The sequence below is a fragment of the Homo sapiens genome, chromosome 18 (genome assembly GCF_000001405.40).
Source record: "Homo sapiens chromosome 18, GRCh38.p14 Primary Assembly".
NCBI lineage: Eukaryota > Metazoa > Chordata > Mammalia > Primates > Hominidae > Homo > Homo sapiens.
Genome location: NC_000018.10, coordinates 7,935,777 through 7,957,405, shown reverse-complemented (window position 1 = coordinate 7,957,405; position 21,629 = coordinate 7,935,777). Strand labels below are relative to the sequence as shown.

At 42.1% G+C, this 21,629-nt stretch overlaps 1 protein-coding gene across 36 annotated transcripts in view; it reads right to left on the bottom strand.

Annotated features, from left to right (window-relative positions):
• Positions 1-21,629, bottom strand: part of PTPRM (protein tyrosine phosphatase receptor type M) — an 839,541-nt gene that overhangs the window by 449,451 nt on the left and 368,461 nt on the right. For 26 of the 36 annotated variants that reach the window (XM_011525708.3, XM_047437715.1, XM_011525712.3 and 23 more), the window contains exons 6-7: positions 8,051-8,225; positions 1,992-2,285 (exon numbers count right to left, since the gene is read on the bottom strand). In XM_011525708.3, coding sequence (XP_011524010.1) covers positions 1,992-2,285; positions 8,051-8,225 — 469 coding nt within the window. Of the gene's footprint in view, positions 1-1,991; positions 2,286-8,050; positions 8,226-10,428; positions 10,532-21,629 lie in introns of those variants that run through there. The other 10 variants (NM_001378147.1, NM_001378145.1, XM_047437718.1 and 7 more) reach the window with 1 other exon arrangement.

The following is a 21,629-nucleotide window of genomic DNA, read 5'->3' as shown; positions in this document are numbered from 1 at the left end:
ATTCAAAATTGGTTTTCATTTCTTAAAAATAACTGTCAATCTATTATTAAAAGGTAATTTGTCTCTTTGAGCATTATCCATTTACACATTATGCAGCAGCATCAAAAGGCTTCCTGAAAACACAGACACATGCATTATAATCAGTGGATATATATACAGCAATGTGTCAATAGCTGAGATGTACAGACACAAAACCAAAAGAAAAGGCAAAAATGTGTAAAAAAAAAAAAAAGAACAGGACTGGAAACATTATGTAGGTGGGGCTGCTAGTGACTAGAATTGAAACAGATCACAGTCTCTCTCCAGTCTAAACAATGAAATTCTAACCTGCTTTTGGAGAGAGAGAGAAACCATATATTGCCATGCCCAAAACAGGAATTCTTAACACTAAAGTGAAATAACACTAAACTTACTTCTTACAGAGTGAGCTTAGAAGTAGAAAGGAGCTCACACGGGCTTCACTTTCACCATCTGTATTATGGGGATCAAAGAACCTGCCCTGGAGAATTCATAAGGCAGTGGTAAAATAACAGATTTGAAAGCAATGCCTATCTTGTCAAATGATATAGGCAGTATTATCCATAGCTATTGTTTGCATTGCAACAAATGGTAAGATAAAACTTTTACAACAATGATGGAATTTATTCAACTAAATAGAGGAGATGACGAGGTTTAAAGAAGACAGGAAGAGAAAGGATTGGGAAATTCTCCTTTCTCCTTAGAGCCACCACTCAGGGCTGTGGGAATCACCAAATCAAAACAGCAGGTCTTATTCCAGGGACCAGACTGCCTGCACAAAGGTGCCACGAGGATACAGATGTGGGGTCTGAGAAACAGATGAAAGATGTACAAAACAGCAAAGTACACAGTCTACTAACCCAGGCCAGTCCCTGTACTCAATAGCATGTATCCCCAGAAGAAAAAAGTACCTGTTCCCTTTTCTAACAAAAGTCTTTTTTAAAATACAGAATTTTCCATGAGTATTGAACTTGTGGAAACAGTATAATACAAATTATGAAGAAAAAATTTAAAAACCAGCTACAATGGTTAAGGTTTAATAATTTCTCTTACTCCTACCAGATAGAATCTGACTATGCTAAGCATTTTTAAAACTTAAGAAAGAAATGAAACATTGATAAATGTATTCTTATCTAATGCTATCTGAATAATTAACTAACACCATAACAATTTATGGAATCTCCTCATCTCAGCACACAATTCAACACAGAAATTCCTCATTTACAAGACAAAAGAGCACTTAAATATCCCAATATACTGTTTCTCTCTGCTTCCTACCACAGAGTAGCCATACGGAAACAACACTACAATCTCTAATTGGGGAGCTTCATTCAGGTTTTGATTTTTGGAAGATTTTACACTTCTCTCTCCATTAACCCTACTTTTACTTAAGTTGCGGAATGGGTTTAGCACAATTAGAAATTTATAATCTAAGAAACTAAAGACTGCACCCAGCACACAAATCACTCTTGCTTATGATACAAACAGGCCCAAGTCATTCGCCAGCAGACCCTCCATTAAACACTCATCAATGAAAACACATCTTTAAGGCTATCTCTAAGATGGAATCTGTTATTCCAGAGCCCCTCCAGGCTGCTGGCACATTAACTATGAACATAAAACAAAGGGGCCCAAGTAAGAGAGTCTGACCTATTAGAGGACATCATTAGAGTAGACAGTTTCTGTAAACTTCACAGACAATTCCTATATGAACAATGTGGTACTCAGAGTAAGAAGTAAATTAACAATAGGAAAAAGGGTGGGGGCAGGCTGAGAAATACCAAGCCTGGAGGTTACTGGTCCCCAAGTTCACAAGCTGTTAGCTGACTATTCACAGGCTAAGGGCATTTTCTGTTCATATGCAGGTTTTGATAGAGCTAGGGGAAGCGTGCTAGGCATCTGATCAACCCCAGTGCTGCCAGTCAACACCAGGAAAGACAATGACAATTAATTGCAGGGTTCCTTATACTCACCAGCACACTTTGTTCTTGTCCTGAGAGCTGGACCAGGAGAGCCAGTGCCACCCTCCCCTGGCCTGGTCAGGAGCACACTAATCTCATATTCTGTATCTGGGTCAAGGTGTCCAATTTTATAGCTCGTGGAATCGACTGGCTGCCGGTCATTCCAGCTCCCACTGGCCGTGCAGTACTCCACCTCTCGGGCCACAATGGGCCCATCCCCATTGATGGAGTTGGCGTTGAGCTGTATCCACAGGTAGGTGGCTCCTACAGAGGCGAGCTGAGGTGGGGCAATAGGAACGGGTGGTTCTGAAAGACAAACCAGAAAGCTGTCTTTCAGATGCTTTGTCTTCAGTCTTAAAAGAGCTAAACATGCATCAATTATTAAAATGTAGAAGATAATAAAATTTCAGGAATAAATTGATGAGAAAAATTTTGTTTGGGTTAACAAGAAAAAGTATGTTGAAAAAGATTTTCATAGCATTCAAAGTTGTGAAATAAACCATCTTTAAACACATAAGCTTATTCAAGTAGGCATAACCCTAATTTGTTTTAGGACACCAACCACCGTGCATAGCATATGCAAATTAGCATATCTGATACTTTTTGTAATGGTGAATACAGAAAATATTCTCAAGACAAAAATGCATTAAAGTGATGCCTGTTTTAGGATACTAATTACAATATCTTGAATGAGTAAGCCCACTCATTACAGTGAGTCAGTTACACAGATATCAAAGGATTTTTTTTTTCCACTAAAGTTAACTGGTAAAAGTTCTCTCAAGTAGTAGTATTTAAGCTCTAGGAAGCATTCATTGTTAATCTCCTTATTGAGAATGTCTTCAAAATCATCAAAGGTATTAGTTCTTATATCATTAAATTGTTTCCTTATATTTATATTCCAAAGGTATCACCACTTTAAAAACATGCCTGAAATTACAGTTTATCTCATCAAAAATACATTTCCAGGATGACTCATTTTCCAAAATAACTATCACAATGGATTCATTTTGCTACAGGAGAATCGAGCATTCTGGATAATGAAGTCCACCACTGCTGCCATTCAGGGAACTTCCAGTAGTAAGTCTTACTAAAGCAGTGAATAGAAAGGAAAGCTCTGAAGCAAAAAACATACCATGCACAGCTTGATAAAACTAAGAAATCACTAGCAAACACACTTTACAACCCAAGAAAGTCCCTCTCTTTGTTTAAAATCTGAGACCGACTCTTTCCTATATCATTGTCAATCTTATCATAAATAGTACTCCCAGTATATTAGTTAGATGCCCGTTGAAAGGCTCTCTAGGCACCAAATGAAGGTATTCCACATGCCGATGCCACTGTGGGTGATACCACACATGATAAATGAGATCATTGTACAAAACAACGTATTTCTACCGGCATAAATCTCCCTCTCAGAAAAACATAAATCTAGTGATTTTTTTCAAGACTGTATCTATGGGTGGTTTGTGCCTTTTTGGCATGTTCTGTTTTTAACTCCTCATTTTGCTCATACAAATGCACGGAAAAATAAAATCCGCTATATCCTATTACTGGAATGCTGGCTTGCTTGCTGAAATTTCTGCTACCCTCTTGCATCCTCTTGCATGGCAGACATAGCTAATCGATCACAGCCATGTTCCCTGCTGCAGAGGACCTCAGAGAAGCTAGCACCACATGAGGTTTGCACCTGAGCTGATACCGGGTAAACTCCTAGACCAGCTAAAAACCAGCAACATTGGTTCCCTTTGTTGAGTTGGTTGTCTTAGTTCTTTTTTATATTCAAGGTGGGATAAGTCATACTGACTTTTTACAATTGCTGGGGAAATCTCACTCGACTAAGTCAAAATAAGACACAAAACTGTGAATGAATTTTCCTTCAGAGACTACAAACATAATGTAAATTTACTAAAATATTGTTCCTGTTGTTTATAAACTGAAACTTTGTGCTGGTTTTTCATTTCTTTAAACAGCTCTGCCTTAACTCACAATGATTTAACATCAATTCATATCATTAGGCGATTCCTTGAACCGAGACATGAAATGGGCCTTTTATGGTACATCCTAAGGCATTTATGTAGCCAGACTGAAAGAGCAGTTAATTACTTTCGAGTTGCAAATGCTAGCAAGGGTTGTTGAACTGCCATTCAAAATGAAACTCAGGGGCAAAGTCACAAAGGGTCATGAGTACACTCACTCATTTAAGACATTGTAACTAGTATCCTAAAATAGATGGGACTTTAATGCATTTGTTTCCTGAGAATGTTTTCTGTTTTAATTCTCCATTAAGAAAAGTACCAGATATGCTAAATCAAATGAAGTATTCAACTAGAACCTGGAAATAATTGGGACAGACATTCAAAAGGACTTTTGGTTTACAGAAGAATCAGCACAAGAATACGGCAACATTTAAATTTTCGTTTTTAGACAGAATCTTGCTCTGTCACCGAGGCTGCAGTGCAGTGGCACCATCGTGGCTCACTGCAGCCTCCGCCTCCCAGGTTCAAGTGATTCTCCAGCCCCAGCCTCCTGAGTAGCTGGGATTACAGGTGTGTGCCACCACAGCTGGTTAGTTTTTGTATTTCTACTAGAAATGGAGTTTCACCATGTTGGCCGGGCTGGTCTCGAACTCCTGACCTCAAGTGATCTGCCAGCCTCGGCCTCCCAAAGTGCTGGGATTATAGGCATGAGCCACCACGCCCGGCCAACATTTACATTTTCTTTTCTTTTTTTTTTTTTTTGAGATGGAGTCTTGCTCTGTCGCCCAGTGCAGTGTCGCCATCTTGGCTCACTGCAAGCTCTGTCTCCCAGGTTCACACCATTCTCCTGCCTCAGCCTTCCGAGTAGCTGGGACTACAGGCGCCCGCCACCATGCCCGGCTAATTTTGTATTTTTAGTAGAGACAGGGTTTCACCGTGTTAGCCAGGATGGTCTCAATCTCCTGACCTTGTGATCCACCCGCCTCAGCCTCCCAAAGTGCTGGGATTACAGGCATGAGCCACTGTGCCCGGCCACATTTGCATTTTCAACAAATTTTCCCAAAGGGAAAGGATGAAAGAGGTAAAGAAGGAAGGAAGGAGAAGGCAAGAATCTTAATCTGTACAAAGTGATAAAATGCAATTTAAAATATTTCTTAATTCAAGTGAAAGGACACCATAAAACTAATTCTAAATCAAGCCAGTAATGGCAGTATTTATACACACACAGACATATATCTAATGGATACGCACATGTAAATGCCTAATACATCAATAAATATGTCAGTATCATATTTAACTGTATGAAATATGTTTACATATGAAATATAGAAACGTAACTAAATAGGGTATTGATATATATATGCATATATACATGCATTGTGGAGATTATATGAAATATTTTTATGTCCTTGGTTATCAAAAGTGGCTAGACATGAATAAAGATGAGAGTGATGGTTAGTCAATTAAAGGACTTGGTCTTTATTTGGGAGGCTGGCCACAAATCAGTGTGTGACCTTAAAAGGTTAAAAACTCTATGGACTTTAGTTTCTCCCATTTGTAAAATTTAGCACTCCAAATATGATATGGTATATAAAAAAGTGTTAAATTATAGACAAGTGGCCTAAAAATGTTAGTGTATATTTTAAAGTAATTGCCTCAAGGTAATAACCTTATAAAACTAGTAGTATCTAGCATGTTATCTCATTAAAAAATATATCTATATACAAAATATGGCCATAAAATTATAATTGGAGAAAAAGTTAAATTTCATATTTGAGTCCTAACTGCATGCAAATTGTCATGAGCTGTGGCAGTGTGCGGAAATGGAAATAAGTCCCTGGTAATTTTTATCACAGTGAGCCAAGATACTACTACACTGCCATAAGACAGGAAAATGTGGTGCACAAATATGAATACGAATCTATTCATTCTTTCTATTTATGTTTGTTCAGGTAGACTAGAAATTTATAATTTACTTATAACTTCCAACAAATTAACTTTTCCACAAGGGAATTTTTAGAGATACTACTAGATTTGCATCCCACTAATCAATAACATGGGTAGTGGCAGGTCACAGTGAAGCAGTATAGCAACTGAAAGAAAAGGAAAAATAATCAAAAACAAATGAACCAAGATGAAAATTAAATAATGGTAGTAATAATGATGATGATAATGATGAACTCTAAAATGACAAAACAGTTTGTAGGCAAACTAGTGTCCTTTCTGTACATCATGATGTCTCACTTGCCAGAGCACTTTCAACAGGGTAGGGTGTGTACAGCAGGGAAGAATCTTAGTTTTGTTAGAGACTTTAAACCTAAATATTAGGCTGGTTCAAGTCTCATCACAAATAAAAACATGTTAAGAATCTGCTGTGACAAATACATTATCCGAGTAGATATCTTAATGTGCACTTCCTTACGCCGAACATCAGTCACTGCTGCAGACGATTCTCGAGGTGGCCTCACTGGGGTGCACTGTCCCCCATAAGCTACGTGTGACTAACTAACACTGGCAGTGGTGATCTCACAACAGAGCATATGGCTGACTCATTGGAGGTTTTATAACAGAGGCTGTGTCCCTGGATATTCTGACTCAATATGGGTGTGGCCAGACAGGGAGGAGACAATAGGTGGGCAGGTATTTACATTTTTAAAAAGTCAGAAAGGTAGTTCAGACATCCATTCCCCAGTGAAGACCACTGACAGACTGGACCAGAGAGAAGTTTATCCCTGTCCTCCTCTCCCTTCCCACCAAGGGCCTTTCAAGCACCCATTGCTCACTATGTATACTAAGTGTCCTATATATAATATACACTTTGCATTTGATCTTCCTCATGGCCCTGTAAGGTAGATAACATTATTATCTGATATCTACCTTACACACAAGGAAACAGCAGCACATACAGGGCAAGCCACTGGCCCATAGCCACATACCTAGTTCTGGGATTTGAATCCAGCAATCTTTAAAGCTGCCTATCTTGAGAAATGTGCAGATAAAAGCTATTGCTTTTATACCACATAAGAAACAGACAATTTTTGTCTAAGACACAGGGTCTCACTCTGTCCAGGTTGGCTGGAATGCAGGGGCACAATCATAGCTCACTGCAGCCTAGAACTCCTGGACTCAGGTAATCCTCCCACCTCAGCCTCCTGACTAGCTGGGAGTATAGGCACTGCCACCACACCTGGCTAGCTTTTTTTATTTTTACAAATTTTTGTAGAGGTGGAGTCTCAATATGTTGCCCAGGCTGGTCTGGAACTTCTGGCCTCAGCTTCTCAAAGTGCTGGGATTATATATGTAGAGAGATCAATTTTATGTGCCATATTTAACAAATGCAGGGAAAACTTTTCTTAAAGCAGTCCTCATTCTGTTCTCCTAGGAAAAACAGCAATGGCTTGCCACAGGTTGTCTAAAAATGCCTCATGGTACACCTCAAAGTCCAAATTATCCTGTCTGGGACCAAAAATTGTCTTGGTGGCTTAATGCTATAAATTCCTCAGCCTACAAAAAACCCATTAAACCGGCTAAAGGAAACTTATTTCCCCTTTCTATTTTCCCTCATCCCCCACCTTCTTAAATATAATGACTCAATTTTTCAGTCATGCAAAATATAGTAATAGAACCTAACTGGAACATTATGAATGTTAACACAGAATTATCAATATGGCTTGTGTGATATGACTGAGCATGTTTATACTGACACTGCTTCATTTTATTAACCACTCTGCTATCATAAACACGCTGGCTGATGAATATTTGCATTTTAAGTGATTTTTCATCAGTAAAAAATTTTATTCCTTAAAAAAAATTTATAAGTTGTAATCTCTGTATATAGAGTTGGCAGAAGACTTTGCCAAGAGCACATTCATTGTTTTTTGTGCAACTAAATCAACATAGATAAAACACATTTTTCAAAAATATTGTTCACGTGCAAAATTTGTACTTAAAATGCAATCCATCAAAATAGCCTGTCATCAAACCACTGCTCAGAAACAGACAAGGGTAAGTTTGAGCTTTAAAGGGATAATGAACTAACAACACCTAACATATCTACTTTAGAAGAATATTCTGGTATAAAAACACATTAAATACCTTTAACTACCAACTCTGCATAGTTTGATATTCCAACACCTCCTTCAGTGCGAATCATGCAGCGGTACTTTCCAGCATCTCGTTTGGTGGTATTCACAACATTAAATGAAGCAATGAAGCGTCGGGAGCTGGTCACCTTGATTTCCTTCAGAGGAGCATCTCGCACATCAATGCCCTGTATCAAGTGGGGTGGGGAGGACAAAAAGAAGCAATATAAGCTGTCAGAGCAAAACAGTCAGACACCCAATGGTATATTATCCATGCTGTTTTCATGCAGACCTTGGTGCAGTTGCTTATTACCCATGGGCAGTTGTACCAGGAGAATAGCTGAGCAGGAAACTAAAATTCTGCCATGATCAACACCTTAAAGACTGAGCGATGCAAAATTAAGTGTGAAGACATTTTTTGTTTTTGCCTCTTCAAAATATTATGTTAATTAGTGCAACAGGGGAGTAAAAATACAGAAAACTTGTTACCTTGTTTTCAAACTATCCACATTTGGTCTTATAGCACTTTCTCTTATTTGTATGCTTGACTAGGAAATAAAAGTAGCTCACCCACTATCCTATTACTGACCTCATTTTATAAATGAAGTAATAAACACTGTATTAAGAATAACATTCAACTATAAGTTAGGTTTTAGAGTACTCCCTATTGAACAGGACTAAAAGAATAGTTCAACCCTTTTGACGTTCTTCCTGGATATACAAAACCAAACAGAATTAGGTGCCTAGTAACTATTAAATGACATTCATACGTAACAAGAGAGGTTCCTCTCTACATCCCATATCCCCAGGACCACATAAACAAAGTTCCACAGCTGGGGCAGTTTGGTCTTTTATTATCCCCATATATGGTCTTTTATTATCCCCATATATTAAGTAACCCTTTTAGTTATGCACACTTGGAAATCCATTCTATGCTTCCAATAGTTTAAAGCCTCAAACCTCGTGGCTTCAAAAGCAGGTTAGAGATTTAAAGTCTCAAAAGCAGGTTAGAGATTTTAGTTCTCTCTCTTGTATGTGCTCTTGCTCTTGTGCTCTCTCTTCTCTCTCTCTTTCTCTCTCTCTCTATATATAATATATATACACACACATATATATAAAGTTTCTCACACCAACAGTCCCCCATAGACAAATACGAATATGGACAAATATCTAGCCCTGAAAGCGGAAACCTGTGTGTGTGTGTGTGTGTGTGTGTGTGTGTGTGTGTGTGTGTGTGTATTTTATAATCAGGAAAGAGGCTATCTTTAACATGTTATTTATAAGTATTAGTAAAAAACAATGGACAAAGACCTCAAGGCTAATACATGATCATTATGCCAAGCGTAATGCCCAAGCACTATGTCCGTTATTCACTCAGCAACCACTCTTGGCATCCCAACCAGGAGCTATCACTATGTCAAGATAGCATGATCACAATGGTACCCAAAAGAAAAGTGGTGGCTGGGCTTATGGGCCTGCAGTTGTTTGGGGTGTATAGGTTTAGAGTGAATACATAATCAGAAACGATGGCCAGGGTGGTTTAGGAAAGATGAGCTGGCTAGCAGAAACCCCATTGCAGACAAACTGCAGATATAGTGGCTGTGGGAGGCTAGTCTGAGGAAGTGACATGTGAGTTGAGATCTGAAGGGTAAACAGAAGCTAACCAGGCAAAGGGGAAGGGTGAGAGGGGAAGAGCATTCTAGTTATAGGAAACGCTACAGGAAGCTCAAGATGGTGAGAAAGAGATGAAGGCTTTGGATGAAGTTAAGGCAGCCAGTGGAGCTAGGGAGGTGGGCAAGCACCTGTGTGCTCAGGGACTTGCAGGCTATATTAAAATGTTTACATTCATAGCTATGAAAATGCTAGCCTACAAAGGAATCAAACTCATCTGTATTACCCAGTGATTTATACTATGCAAAGTCCTTTAAAAGCTTTTATCTGTGATATTTTCATTGGCCGAATCACCTAAGGGACACAAGTTTGGGAGTTAGCCTGACCAGTATGCCAAACCTATAGTGATCATCCAGAGTGGTTAACCTTCATAGAGCCTCACTTCCTAATCTGTAAAGAGGAGATGATACCACCCACTGTCAGGGCTGCTGGGAGAACCCACAGGCATACGCAAGGACACAGCCATAACAATTCCACCATGCAGCCCCGCCCAAGCGCCGGAACACCTGAGTGATGAATTCAAGGAGAAAGGCAGAGCGGCTATCAAAGTACCACCTTTATTACTGATAAACCTGAGACTGAGGAATATGACTTAAGAGTGCAGGAACAATGGGCTTGCTAATCCTGAAGCACAGAATAAACAGACTCACTAACCCAGTCCCAGGCCACCCTAGAAAACCACAAGGCCTCCCATATGTTCAGTGCTGCTGTAAAACTCACAGGATGGAGGGAGAGGGTTCCCATAGGCAGTCAGCTCCCCAAAGAAGGGGCTGGGCTAGGCATGCTCAGCCCTTCCTCCCAGGCAGCTTCAGCTTGGGCAGTGAGAAAGCAGACAGGAGTGCTGCAATAGTACAGTTCCTGCCACTTGGAAGGAAACATCACGAGTGGGGAAGAACAGTTCCATCAACATTATCTTTAGTATTATCTGTAAAACAGTCTTGTTTATACCACACAATGCCGTAAGTCAGAAAATAAAGTCCCACATAAGTCTGTGTGTGTTTTTTTCACTAAATGCCCTAAATTTGTTCTCATAGACAGCATCAAGAAGTTAAAAAATGAAACAAAACCAAATTTAGCATTAATAATACAACAGGAGAAAGGTTCCTCTCTGCTTTCCATAGATATTCAGTCTCTGATTCTCACCCCACCCCAGGAAATAAGCAAATTCTAGCCCTAAGGATAATCTTAGACATACTACTCCCTAGTCTTCTTTCCAAACTGAAAAAGAACCACATCTCTGGTTTTTGAAGGGAAAAGAAATTAAGCCATAAAGGCAGATTGCATATCTGTAAGTATTTGTTTGCTAACAACAACCAAAGAGGCCTTAGGGCTATCTATCCATTTATTTATCTATTTACTTGCGGCATGAATCCTGTAATAATATCCTTTTGTAATAATCTCCTAATATTTTTCCAAACAGAAGCATCTATCAAAAGAATGTTTATTCAAAAACAATTTCAAGTTTGCACTTACTGACCCCTCACAACTATTCAAGGCTATACTGAGGGCACTCAAGTAAAAGAAACCCTCCTTTTTGGATTTATGCATATGCTGAGAGGAGTATGACTCACAGTAGCACTGTCTTCATGCCACAGATGGGCCCTATAAAATAAACAGCCTCGGACTAGGAGCCCTGCGTGACTCTAGTGAGTCATATGAATGCTCAGGAATGAGCCTTTAATAAATTTTTAACTCCTGTACTTAATCACATGAAAAGTCAGCTTCAGCTTCAAGAGAAATAGTACATAGGGAGGAGAAACCAAGCAGCAATCGTTTTAGCTTAGAATCTACACAGGAATAGCAAATCACACATCTTACTCAAATCTGCAGGCCATTTTGTATTAAACCATTCATGTGTGCATGGATTCAGGCATTCGTTCAACCAATATTCAGTGACAGTCTTTTATGGGGCACACACTATATCATATAAGAGAGCATAAAATTAAAAGAACCATCATTTACCTAATTGAGCTTATTGTCTGGCTAGAAAAAAAAACAGACAAGGCAATAATTACAATACAGAGCAATGAACTGCCTCCCATAGCACAGAGGAGAAGACCTGACTGGATGTCTTAGTCTGTTTTCTGTTGCTTATAACAGAATATCTGAAACTAAAATTTATGAAGAAATTTATTTCTTTCAGTAATGGAGGCTAAGAAGCCCAGGTCAAATGGCCTCATCTGGTGAGGGCCTTCTTGCTGGTGGGGACTCTGCATATTCTCTTTTTTTTTTTGAGATGGAGTCTCACTTGGCTGCCCAGGCTGGAGTGCAGTGGCGCCATCTCTGCTCACTGCAAGCTCTGCCTCCCGGGTTCACGCCATTCTCCCTGCCTCTGCCTCCCAAATAGCTGGGACTACACGTGCCCGCCACCATGCCTGGATAATTTTTTTTTTTTTTTTTGTATTTTTAGTAGAGATGGGGTTTCACCGTGTTCACCAGGATGGTCTCAATCTCCTGACCTCATGATCTGCCCGCCTCAGCCTCCCAAAGTGCTGGGATTACAGGCGTGAGCCACCACGCCCGGCCGGGACTCTGCAGATTCCTGAGGCAGCATAGGGCATCACATGGTGAGGGGGCTGAGTGTGCTAGTTCAAGTCTCTCCTCTTCTCATAAAGCCACTGGTCCCTCTCCCATGATAACCCATTAATCCACTAATCCACACATGTATTAATCCATTAATGAGGGCTCTCCTATGATGACCCAATCACCTCTTAAAGGCCCCACCTCTCAATAATGACACTGGAGATTAAATACTGATTTAATACTGGTGATTAATATTTCAACATGAGTTTTGGAGGGGACAAATATTCAAACTATAGTCCTGGAGATGTTGTCAGTGCAAGCTTTCTAGGAAGCACTGCTTAAGCCCAGGCTTCAGGATGCACAGAAGTTTCTTAGGCAGGGAATAAAGAGGAAAAGTCTAGTGAATAAGAGAAGCTCTTCAGAGTCAGGAGCCAAGAGAGAGCACAGAACTATAGGGGAAATATAGGGTAGCTATGGGGGAACTTTAGGAGAACTATAAAAAAACTATAGGGAAAGTATAGGAGAACTCTAGGGGAACTCTAAGGGAAGTATAACTTATCCCATATGGCAAGAACAGAAGTGCTTCTTGGTATGGCAGGTAAAAAGGCTAGAAGGAAAAGCACAATACAGACTGCAACAAGAAGTATGACATGTTAAAGATTTCAGTGTATTCTGATGCTGGGAATGGAAGGACCTTAGGCAAAGAGGTAACACAAACACCTCTGTGTGTACAGTAATGGACTGGAGGAGATACGGTGTGAGTCCAACTGATGTCAAGGGAAACTGGGTAAATTGTTTTCAGAAATCATAGTAACAAATGACACAATGAGAGAAGACAGAAACAAAGGGACGGAACCTAAAGATATCTAGAAAATGAAATCAACACAACATGTACTCTACTGCAGTAACATCTTTCTCCTCTAGCAGTCCATAAGGTCCAGGGTCGTATCTTACTCATTTTGTGTACCCAGGTGCACAATAAATAGAACTCAAGAAATACTGGCTGACTCTAGGAATCACAGCCTCAGTGGAAAAAAATCTTCCAGGGGTAGAAGAGAAAAATGAGGTTCTACTAAATTAACAGGCTTAAACCCCAAACCCTAGACAAAGAATCCCTATTTACAATGGAGACGAACAGGGAAAGTAAAAGAATGTTTTAGAGGTTCTGTGTGTCGTCAGTCAGCAACATTGCCCCAACTCATCATGACTGTGGTAGGCAGAATAAGGGCCTCCAAAGATGTCTACATCCCAGTCCCCAGAATCTGGGACTATGTTACCTTACATGGCAAAAAGGAGTTTGCAGGTATGATTAAAATAAGGGTCTAGAGATGGAAAGATAGACTGGATTATCTGGGTTGGCCAAACGTAATCACAAGGTTCTATTTATGAGGAAGGCAGAAGGGTCAATGTGAAGGAAAGATAACAGAAGCAGAGGTTGTGCCGACGGGCTCTGAAGTGTGAGGAGGGGATCACGAGGCAAAATATGAGGGAGGTTTCTAGAATCTGGAAAAGGCAAGGACCAGATTCTTCCCAGAGCTTTTGGGAGGAACCAACCCTGCCGTCACCTTCTTTTAGGGCTTCTGACCTGCAAAACAGTAAGATGATGAAGCCACGAGGTTCGAATTTGTTACAGCAGCAATAGGATGCCAATGTGGTGATCATCTGAGAAACTAAAAGCCCTGTGGCTTTTTGAAGGTGTCCAGGGGTCGTGCATCTTGATTTGTCAGAGGTGCATAAGCAAGTCTTTAAGGTCATGTTGGGTCACCGAAGTAGAGTACCCCACTTTGGAATCATGAGCTAGAATAGCAGCCCAAAGACAGCAACCATGGAGGCACCCCATAAGATGAATGAAATGAGCAGAGGCCAGACCAGGAAGGCATGAAGAGACAGAAGAGCCACAGGGGCAGTGGGATAACAAAACAGAAGAAAGAAACAGGAAAACATGCCGTCTACACTGGAGAAGAGCGGGGGAATGACAGTGTGAAGACAGAAAATCAGAAAGGAGTGGGGAAAGCTGGGTGAGGCAACAGGAGAGGAAGCATGGGGAAGAAAGGACCAGGCAGGGCAAGGATGGGGAGAGGCACAGAAACGAAAGGCCAAATGACCCAACACGCAGAAAGATGTGATCCACGAGGGAAAAAGATACAAGCCTTCAATGACGTTATTAGTTTCCTTTGAAATCCTGACATGCACACATTCAGAGACCCCTCCTTGGTTCTTAAAGCAAAAAATGTGTCAGGTGCAAGAGCAACATCAGGCTCTCTATCAGCCCCATTCTAAGAAGACACGCGTAAGGCAGCAAATGCACTTTGGGACTAATGGAGGAGAAATGAGGGGATGTCCTCAAAGTACTGGGTGGGGAGGAGAAGGGAGGAGAGAGACCTCACCCTCCACTTTGTTAGTGTTGATGCAGTGCAGGAAATGGTACCCCAAAATATGGCACCTTGGCATACTAAGTATTTAAGCTGAAAGAAGCTGAGAAAACCACAACATCAGAAAGATCATGCAGACCATTCCCTCCCCGCCCCCCCACCAAGCAGGACACAGAAACTGAAATTCCACTTGCCCCTTTCTGCCCTGAGATGGGCTAGGAAACTCAGAGGTCACTCTCTGACTTCTCCCTCCATCCTCCCCTAAAGGCCTTCATGTGGCAGGTATCCTGCCCTGTATCTGGAGGGCAGGAATGTCACACAGGCCACAGAGAATCTGAACAAACAGGCCTTGTTCAGTGCACCCCGCTTATTACCATCAGATCCTGCCCTGTTGTCCCTCAATCACACTTCTACACGACTGTCCATAAAAACACAGTTTTCCCTGAGTATTCGGGTCTTCATTTTCTGAAGGCTCCTGTGCCATGTAAAACTTGTATTAAATATTTTTTTTTTTTTTTTTGAGACGGAGTCTTGCTCTGCCACCCAGGCTGGAATGCAGCAGCTCGATCTTGGCTCACTTCAACCTCCGCCTCCCAGGTTCAAGCAATTTTCCTGCCTCAGCCTCCCAGTTAGCTGGGACTACAGGTGCCTGCCACCACAACCAGCTAATTTTTGTATTTAGAGTAGACACAGGGTTTCACCATATTGGCCAGCCTGGTCTCGAAATCCTGAACTTGTAATTGCCCACCTTGGCCTCCTAAAGTGCTGGGATTACAGGTGTGAGCCATCGCACCCAGCCATATTAAATAATTTTTTATGTGTTTATCTTGTTAATCTGTCTTTTGTTATAGGGATTTCAGCCATAAACCTTGTGATGGGTGAGGAAAGGTATTACTTTTCTTCCTCCAGTGTCGAACCATATTTCTTGGAGCATGAGGAAATGAGGAAGCACAGTGTTCAGAGTCACTGGCAAAGCACCAGACAATGTCTCCTATGATAGCTCTGTGGACACAAGGAGAACAAGATGGGCTAACTGCCAGGAAGATCAGGTGGACTAGAAACATGCAAGCGACCAGAGTCGCAGCTGCTCGTTGGCACCAACGCTGACGTCTGTTTCTGGTGCCTTGGCACAAGGCTATTTCCTCATCCCTGACTTCTCCCAACAAGTTTATTCCTGCCTTTGATAGTCATAGATGTGCTTCTCAAATGAACAGGTGACAATATATGAGCACATAAATTAACAAAAAGGGATGGAAAAAGATATCTACAAAGCCAAACAATAAATTAAAACAAGATAAACATCAATAAAAATAAATGTGCATCTGATGCTTCCCTGTAAAATCAGACTTTGTTAAGTGGATAGAGTTCTGATTTAGCATCATCTTCATCATTAAAACATACATAACAATTGTGGAGCAGGTTTTTGTCTAAAATCCTAATTCAATTTTCAGTTGTATTAATGAAGTATCTGGAGAGATGGTCCCTCTTGTCCCTGTCCCAGCACACAGCATTCCATTTGGAGCCTCAGGCTTTCGGCAGAGCATAAGAGAAGCAGACTTGTTCAGAGGACTGTGGGCTAGACAGTGAATAAATCCCCTGGCCCACAGTTAGGGAACTGAAGAAGGGGAGGAGCTGGAGACCAGGCTAGTCATTAACGCAGCTGGCTGAGAATGAGGGGGAGAGGACAACCATCTTCCAGCATGAAAAGGACAGGCACGTAAAACAGGAATGGGATGTGAATGTCTGGGCCACAGGATACTAGTAAAAGTCACCAGTACTTACTTATTTGAAATCCTCGCAGTAAAATGTGGTTCAGAATTCAGATTTTTTATTTTATTTCATAAAGGCATCTGCACTGCATATTCTTTGACACCCCAAGGAAAGTCTGAGACAGCACCCCATAATTCCTAGGTTTTGACATTTCTGCATCCAAACCTAGGAATATTGACTTTAAGGAGGAAAAAACAGAAACCCTAAATAGCTTCACATCCATTCAGGTCAGGTTTGGTCACCAAATGAATTACAAAAATGGGGAGGTTTTGCTACCAAATTAGATATGGAAACTTTCTGATTATAGATTTTGGAGTACAGGCTAAGGTACTAAGAACGACCACCGAGAAGGCACACACCCAGTCCTCCCATCCTCAGGCACTCCCAGTCCCACTGTGCCATGGCCGCACCACTGTGCCGGCTGACTCAGCCCCACCATGTGGACTCCTGGCTGTTCTTTCCAGACCAGGCTTCCTCCTTCCTTGAGACCTCTTCCTCCTCCTAGAATGCTTCCCACCCATCCCCCAGAGCCAACTCCATCTCCTTCCAGGGACTGCTCAAATACTTCACTGAGGCCTAACCTGACGCCTAAATTCCAAACTGAAACATGCTCCTACTTGGCACCACCTAGCTGTTCCTTTATGAGTGCCACTGACCCCTTCCTAACATGCTGCATAATTCTCTTACTTACCATAGTTGCTCTCTATCTCCCCTACTAGAATACAAGTCCCATGAAGGCAGGGATCCTTGCCTGGTTTTTATTGCTCTAACTTTAACATATAAACCATGCCTTGTACATCCTAGGGAGGACTGGTGGTGATATTAAAAGTGATTCAGGCATTGAACAAGTGACTAAATTGATTTTAAGATGTCTTTTGGTCCCCAGATTCCATTCCCTAGGCTGGAATTAAACAGTGAAGTGTGGGGAGTGATGGCCAGCCCCAATTCCTTTGCTGCAAGTCAGGTGCAGACAGGCATGAGAGTCTGCCCCTACCGTCCTTTCCCCATGACAGTGACACCTGGAGAGGTCAGTGTGTTCAGAACCTCAGGTACCACTGAGCATCTAGAAACCCACAGCAAAACAAAATTGTGAAAATATACATCAGGTGGACACAGCAAAATTGTCAGCCACATTTTGCCCCATTTTCAGAATAAGAAACAGGCAGCCCCGTCAAGCACTGGCACTCTACATTCTTAATAGCGTGACAGAAGGACCATAAAAAATGATGAAGGATGGGCATCGCACTGTTCTTTACCATATGAGAGTTCACTGGGAGAGACAGCCTAGGACACAGTTGTTGGGAACAAAAACCTCAGACACCATGCAAAGCACAGTGACCGAATGTCCTGGGTTGTTAAATAAATCACTGACCCATCTTTTGTCCACTTAGTGAAATAACCATAATGATGATGCCTGAGAGGAGATATCTGACCGGGTTAAATACAGCTCTTTATAAAAGCAAGAGTATCTTCAAATGTGCATGTATTTCAATTTGAGCAGGCTAGAAAAAAGTACTGATAGTTATTTAAATTAGACTTACAACCTTCTCTATGCAATGGACTAACTCTAGGACTTCTAAATGAGCAGTAATTTACCAGCAAAAGATACATATTAAGTCTTTCAGAAATAGTTTTGCAATAATCAGAGCAATGATTGAAAGAAATTGAGGTCTGGGAAGTTAGCAGCACTTGCAGCAAATTAATCAATCTCAGGCATTTTGGAGCTGCTCTGAGTACGCAGGCATCAGGCAGGGAGCTCTGAGCCAGTCCCCCTTCCTCAGACATACAGGTGGGGATTAAACGGCACTTTCATTTCTTCAATAGTGAAAATAGTCTGTATTATCCAACTTTCAAATGTGCCCATTTGTGAGATATTGATTGAAATTCTTACCACCGACATCACTAATAACATCAGCAGGGCCTGGAGTAATTTTGTTTGAAATATCTTATGCAAGCTAAATCCTGTATTAATCGAACATCTCAAAGAAGAATCTACCTTTATATAGCCCATAAGTTTGATTTTAATAATTAACATAGTGTTGACCTTTGATTTCTAGACCACAACCAAGTTAACCCAAATATTTATCAATTTGGAGTACTGTACTAAAACTAAAAATTCTGACTTGTATCATCATATGCTAGCAATATATATTGACAAGCACACGTTAAGTTGGCTAATGAATATACAGATAGCCAAAATAACATACAGATATCCAAAGTTATATCCTATTATTATTGGTATATTCAAGAAGAATTTGATTATGGAAATTTAGAGCTTCATTTTGCTATTTAGACATAGTTCATTTTGTGATATATTCATAATAGCTGAATAACATCATTTAATAAACCTGTATTTAAATTTTATCTAGAAGTTAATCCAAATAATATAGAATATACCTAATAAATGCAGTAACTAGAAATGCCAGCAAAACTAGAAGTTCTGTGGTCTTAAAATCAAATATCCCAACTGTTAACTGGGTTAACTTGGCCAAATCAAACTAAGGAGCCCAACACTGACGAACATTTTTTCATATATTTAAAGGTTCAAACCTTTGCAAAACTAGGTCTCAAGCCAGTTCACTTTTAAACTGTATTTATAGCACTCTAGTATGGGGAGAGTGGCAGTGCTTGTGCTACCTCTCAAACATGATCTAAAAGGCCAGGCTAGTCATTCACACGGCTGGTTAATAACGTCACTTTTCCTTAGTCAATATGCCTTAAAATATACAACTCTTCTGAAAACATAGTTGAAAGAGGATAAAGATGTAAGATAAAGGAGGTTAAAATCCCTACAGTTTTGAATTTGCATAGGAATTGTCAGTATGCACTCAGGGCACAGTTTGTCTTTAAATGTGTGTATGTGTGCATACCAAGATATCTTAGCTCTCTCCAATGAGAAGATCCAAAAACAATAAACAATAAAATAAATAAAGTAGTAATGAGCATCTCTATGTTCAGATTGTAAGTTCTAATGGCCATTTCCCACAGAAAAACAACCAGGATTCCCTGGAAAAATGGCCAATTCTAGGTCTGAAGTAGAAAATGGAAAATATACACCTAGAATATGTCATCACACCAGAAAGCAAAGAAGCTCCCTGAAATGGACCAGGACAGGAGTCACCCATGCAGAGTAAGCCCCACTGGAAGGCTGGGGAAGACATGAGCAGCAATAAAGATATTAAGCGCAATGGACTGAAACACATCAAATGTGTTCAAACACACAAGCTGATGACGACAATGCTGATGATGACAACAATAATTATAACTACCTTGGTCACTTTTAGGTGATGACAGTAAGTGACTGATAGACCTAGACCATTCTGCAACTCCTAATGAATTAATGAACCAAGGCAATGATCATCAATGGCTGATAATGTTATGGGATCCTTGGGGTGTTGCTTCGCCAGCCAGAAACCTCTGTGGCCAGTGGCACCTTTACCTGAGTTTTGCTCGGGCCCAGCGGGCCCACTTGGCTTGGCAGGCTGCGCTCGGCTGACACTACCGGCCTGGATTCCATGCCTGCCAAGGGCGAGTTGGGAGAGGTGACGGGTGTGTGAGTGAGCGAGCATGGGATCTGGCCACTGAGCACAGCCAGGCACACTGGCTGTGGTGGGATGGGCAGCTCCAGGTGCCGGCATGGGCACCAGCTCCCTGCAAGCAGCTTCCAAGGCTGGCAATGGGGAACGTGGTGGCACCCAGAAACTTCAGACACCAGGAACTGCAGAGCCACGAAGAGGGTGTCACAGCCCTGGCTCGGGGAGCTTCTAGGTCTGGGCTCCCTGAAGGGCTGTAGGTCTTCTCTCCTTCTTTCTTGTCACCCACAACGTGGTGAGCAAGGAGCATGTTTCAGCCCTGCTTGTGTTATAGCCCTTGCAGCCCTGCCATTTGGTGGGTCCCGAGTTCTTGTCCTGTGTCTAGGAAGAATGAGGTATGCAGACAAGTGGAGGGTGAGTAAGGTGAACAGGAGCTTTACTGAATGACAGAATAGCGCAAAGGAAACCCATAGTGGTCAGCTTTGCTCCACAGTGAGGGTGTCCCAACAAGTGTTTAGCACTCAGCAGAGAGGAGACCCTTGAGTGGGTAGCTCCTGTATGCAGGCAGGTCATCCAGTCAAGTGCTCAGCTCTCAGCAGAGAGGAGACCCTGGAGTGGGCAGCTTCTCTCTCCAGGCAGGTCGGCCTGAGTGCTCGAGTCTGGCTGAGTCCATGGATTTCATGGGCTTCAGAGGGGAGGAAGTGTGTGCTGACAGGTTCATGGGTGGCCATGGGTGGGCATCAAAAAAGCACGATAATTTCCCACTCCCGAACTGCAGGACTGACAGCTCCCAGGCTTCAGGCCTTCCTTGGCTTGAAGGTGGGACTTCACCGGGGAACTCCCCCATCTGCCCTGGAGCCTGTCTGCCTCCTGTTCATGGTACTCAGGCTGTTCATGCTGAGGGGCACCTGCAGGCCAGTGCCAAACTGCCCTCAACACCCCCTCAGCCTTCCTCCCATGCTTGTCAGTGCCTAAAGTCAGGAAGGGGCTGAGGCGGCAGGGGGCTGGCATGTAAGTGCTGCCCTGGGTGCACACACACCTGGCTGGGTTGCGACAGCACCTGGGTTTAGCCTCAACTTTGCTCCAAGATTGAAGCGGGCACTGGGAACAGGGAGAGGCCAGGCAGTGGAAGCAGGTACTTCGAAGCCTGCAGGTGCAGGGGTGTCTTCCTGGGTCCCTGAGAGTGCAAAGATGCCCAGGTCCACAGCCGTGGCTGGGTAGCTGCAGCTGCACCTGGGAGGGCAGGGCTCCTGCCTGCTCCCAGCCTCTAAGAGCACAGGGATGCTGGGTCTGCAGCCATGGCTGGGCAGCCGCAGCTGTGCTCAGGGAGCATGAGGTTCCTGCCCTGCCAGCTCAGCAGTGGGTGGGGCTTCTACCTGTTCCCAGTTCCCGCCAGCCCCATGAAGCAGGCAGCCCCAACCATGGCCATCTCTGTCTTCCTTTCTCATGGGATAGCCTCGGATACTTGGAAGCAAGAAGAGCAAGTGAACCTTCCGCTGAATATAATAAAAGAAGAAAGAAGGCTTTCCCAGAATGTATGGTTTGTAGGGCCAAAGGAAGCAGACCTTAAGATTAGTGGTGATGCCCTTCCTTCTCTTCTGCCCTCCAGACTGACACAACCTGACCAGTAGTTTTAAAAGCCCAATTTCAGACACAGGGTCTACTTTAGGGTGGAGGGTGGGAGGAAGGTGAGGGTCAAAAAACTACCTAACAGGTATTATGT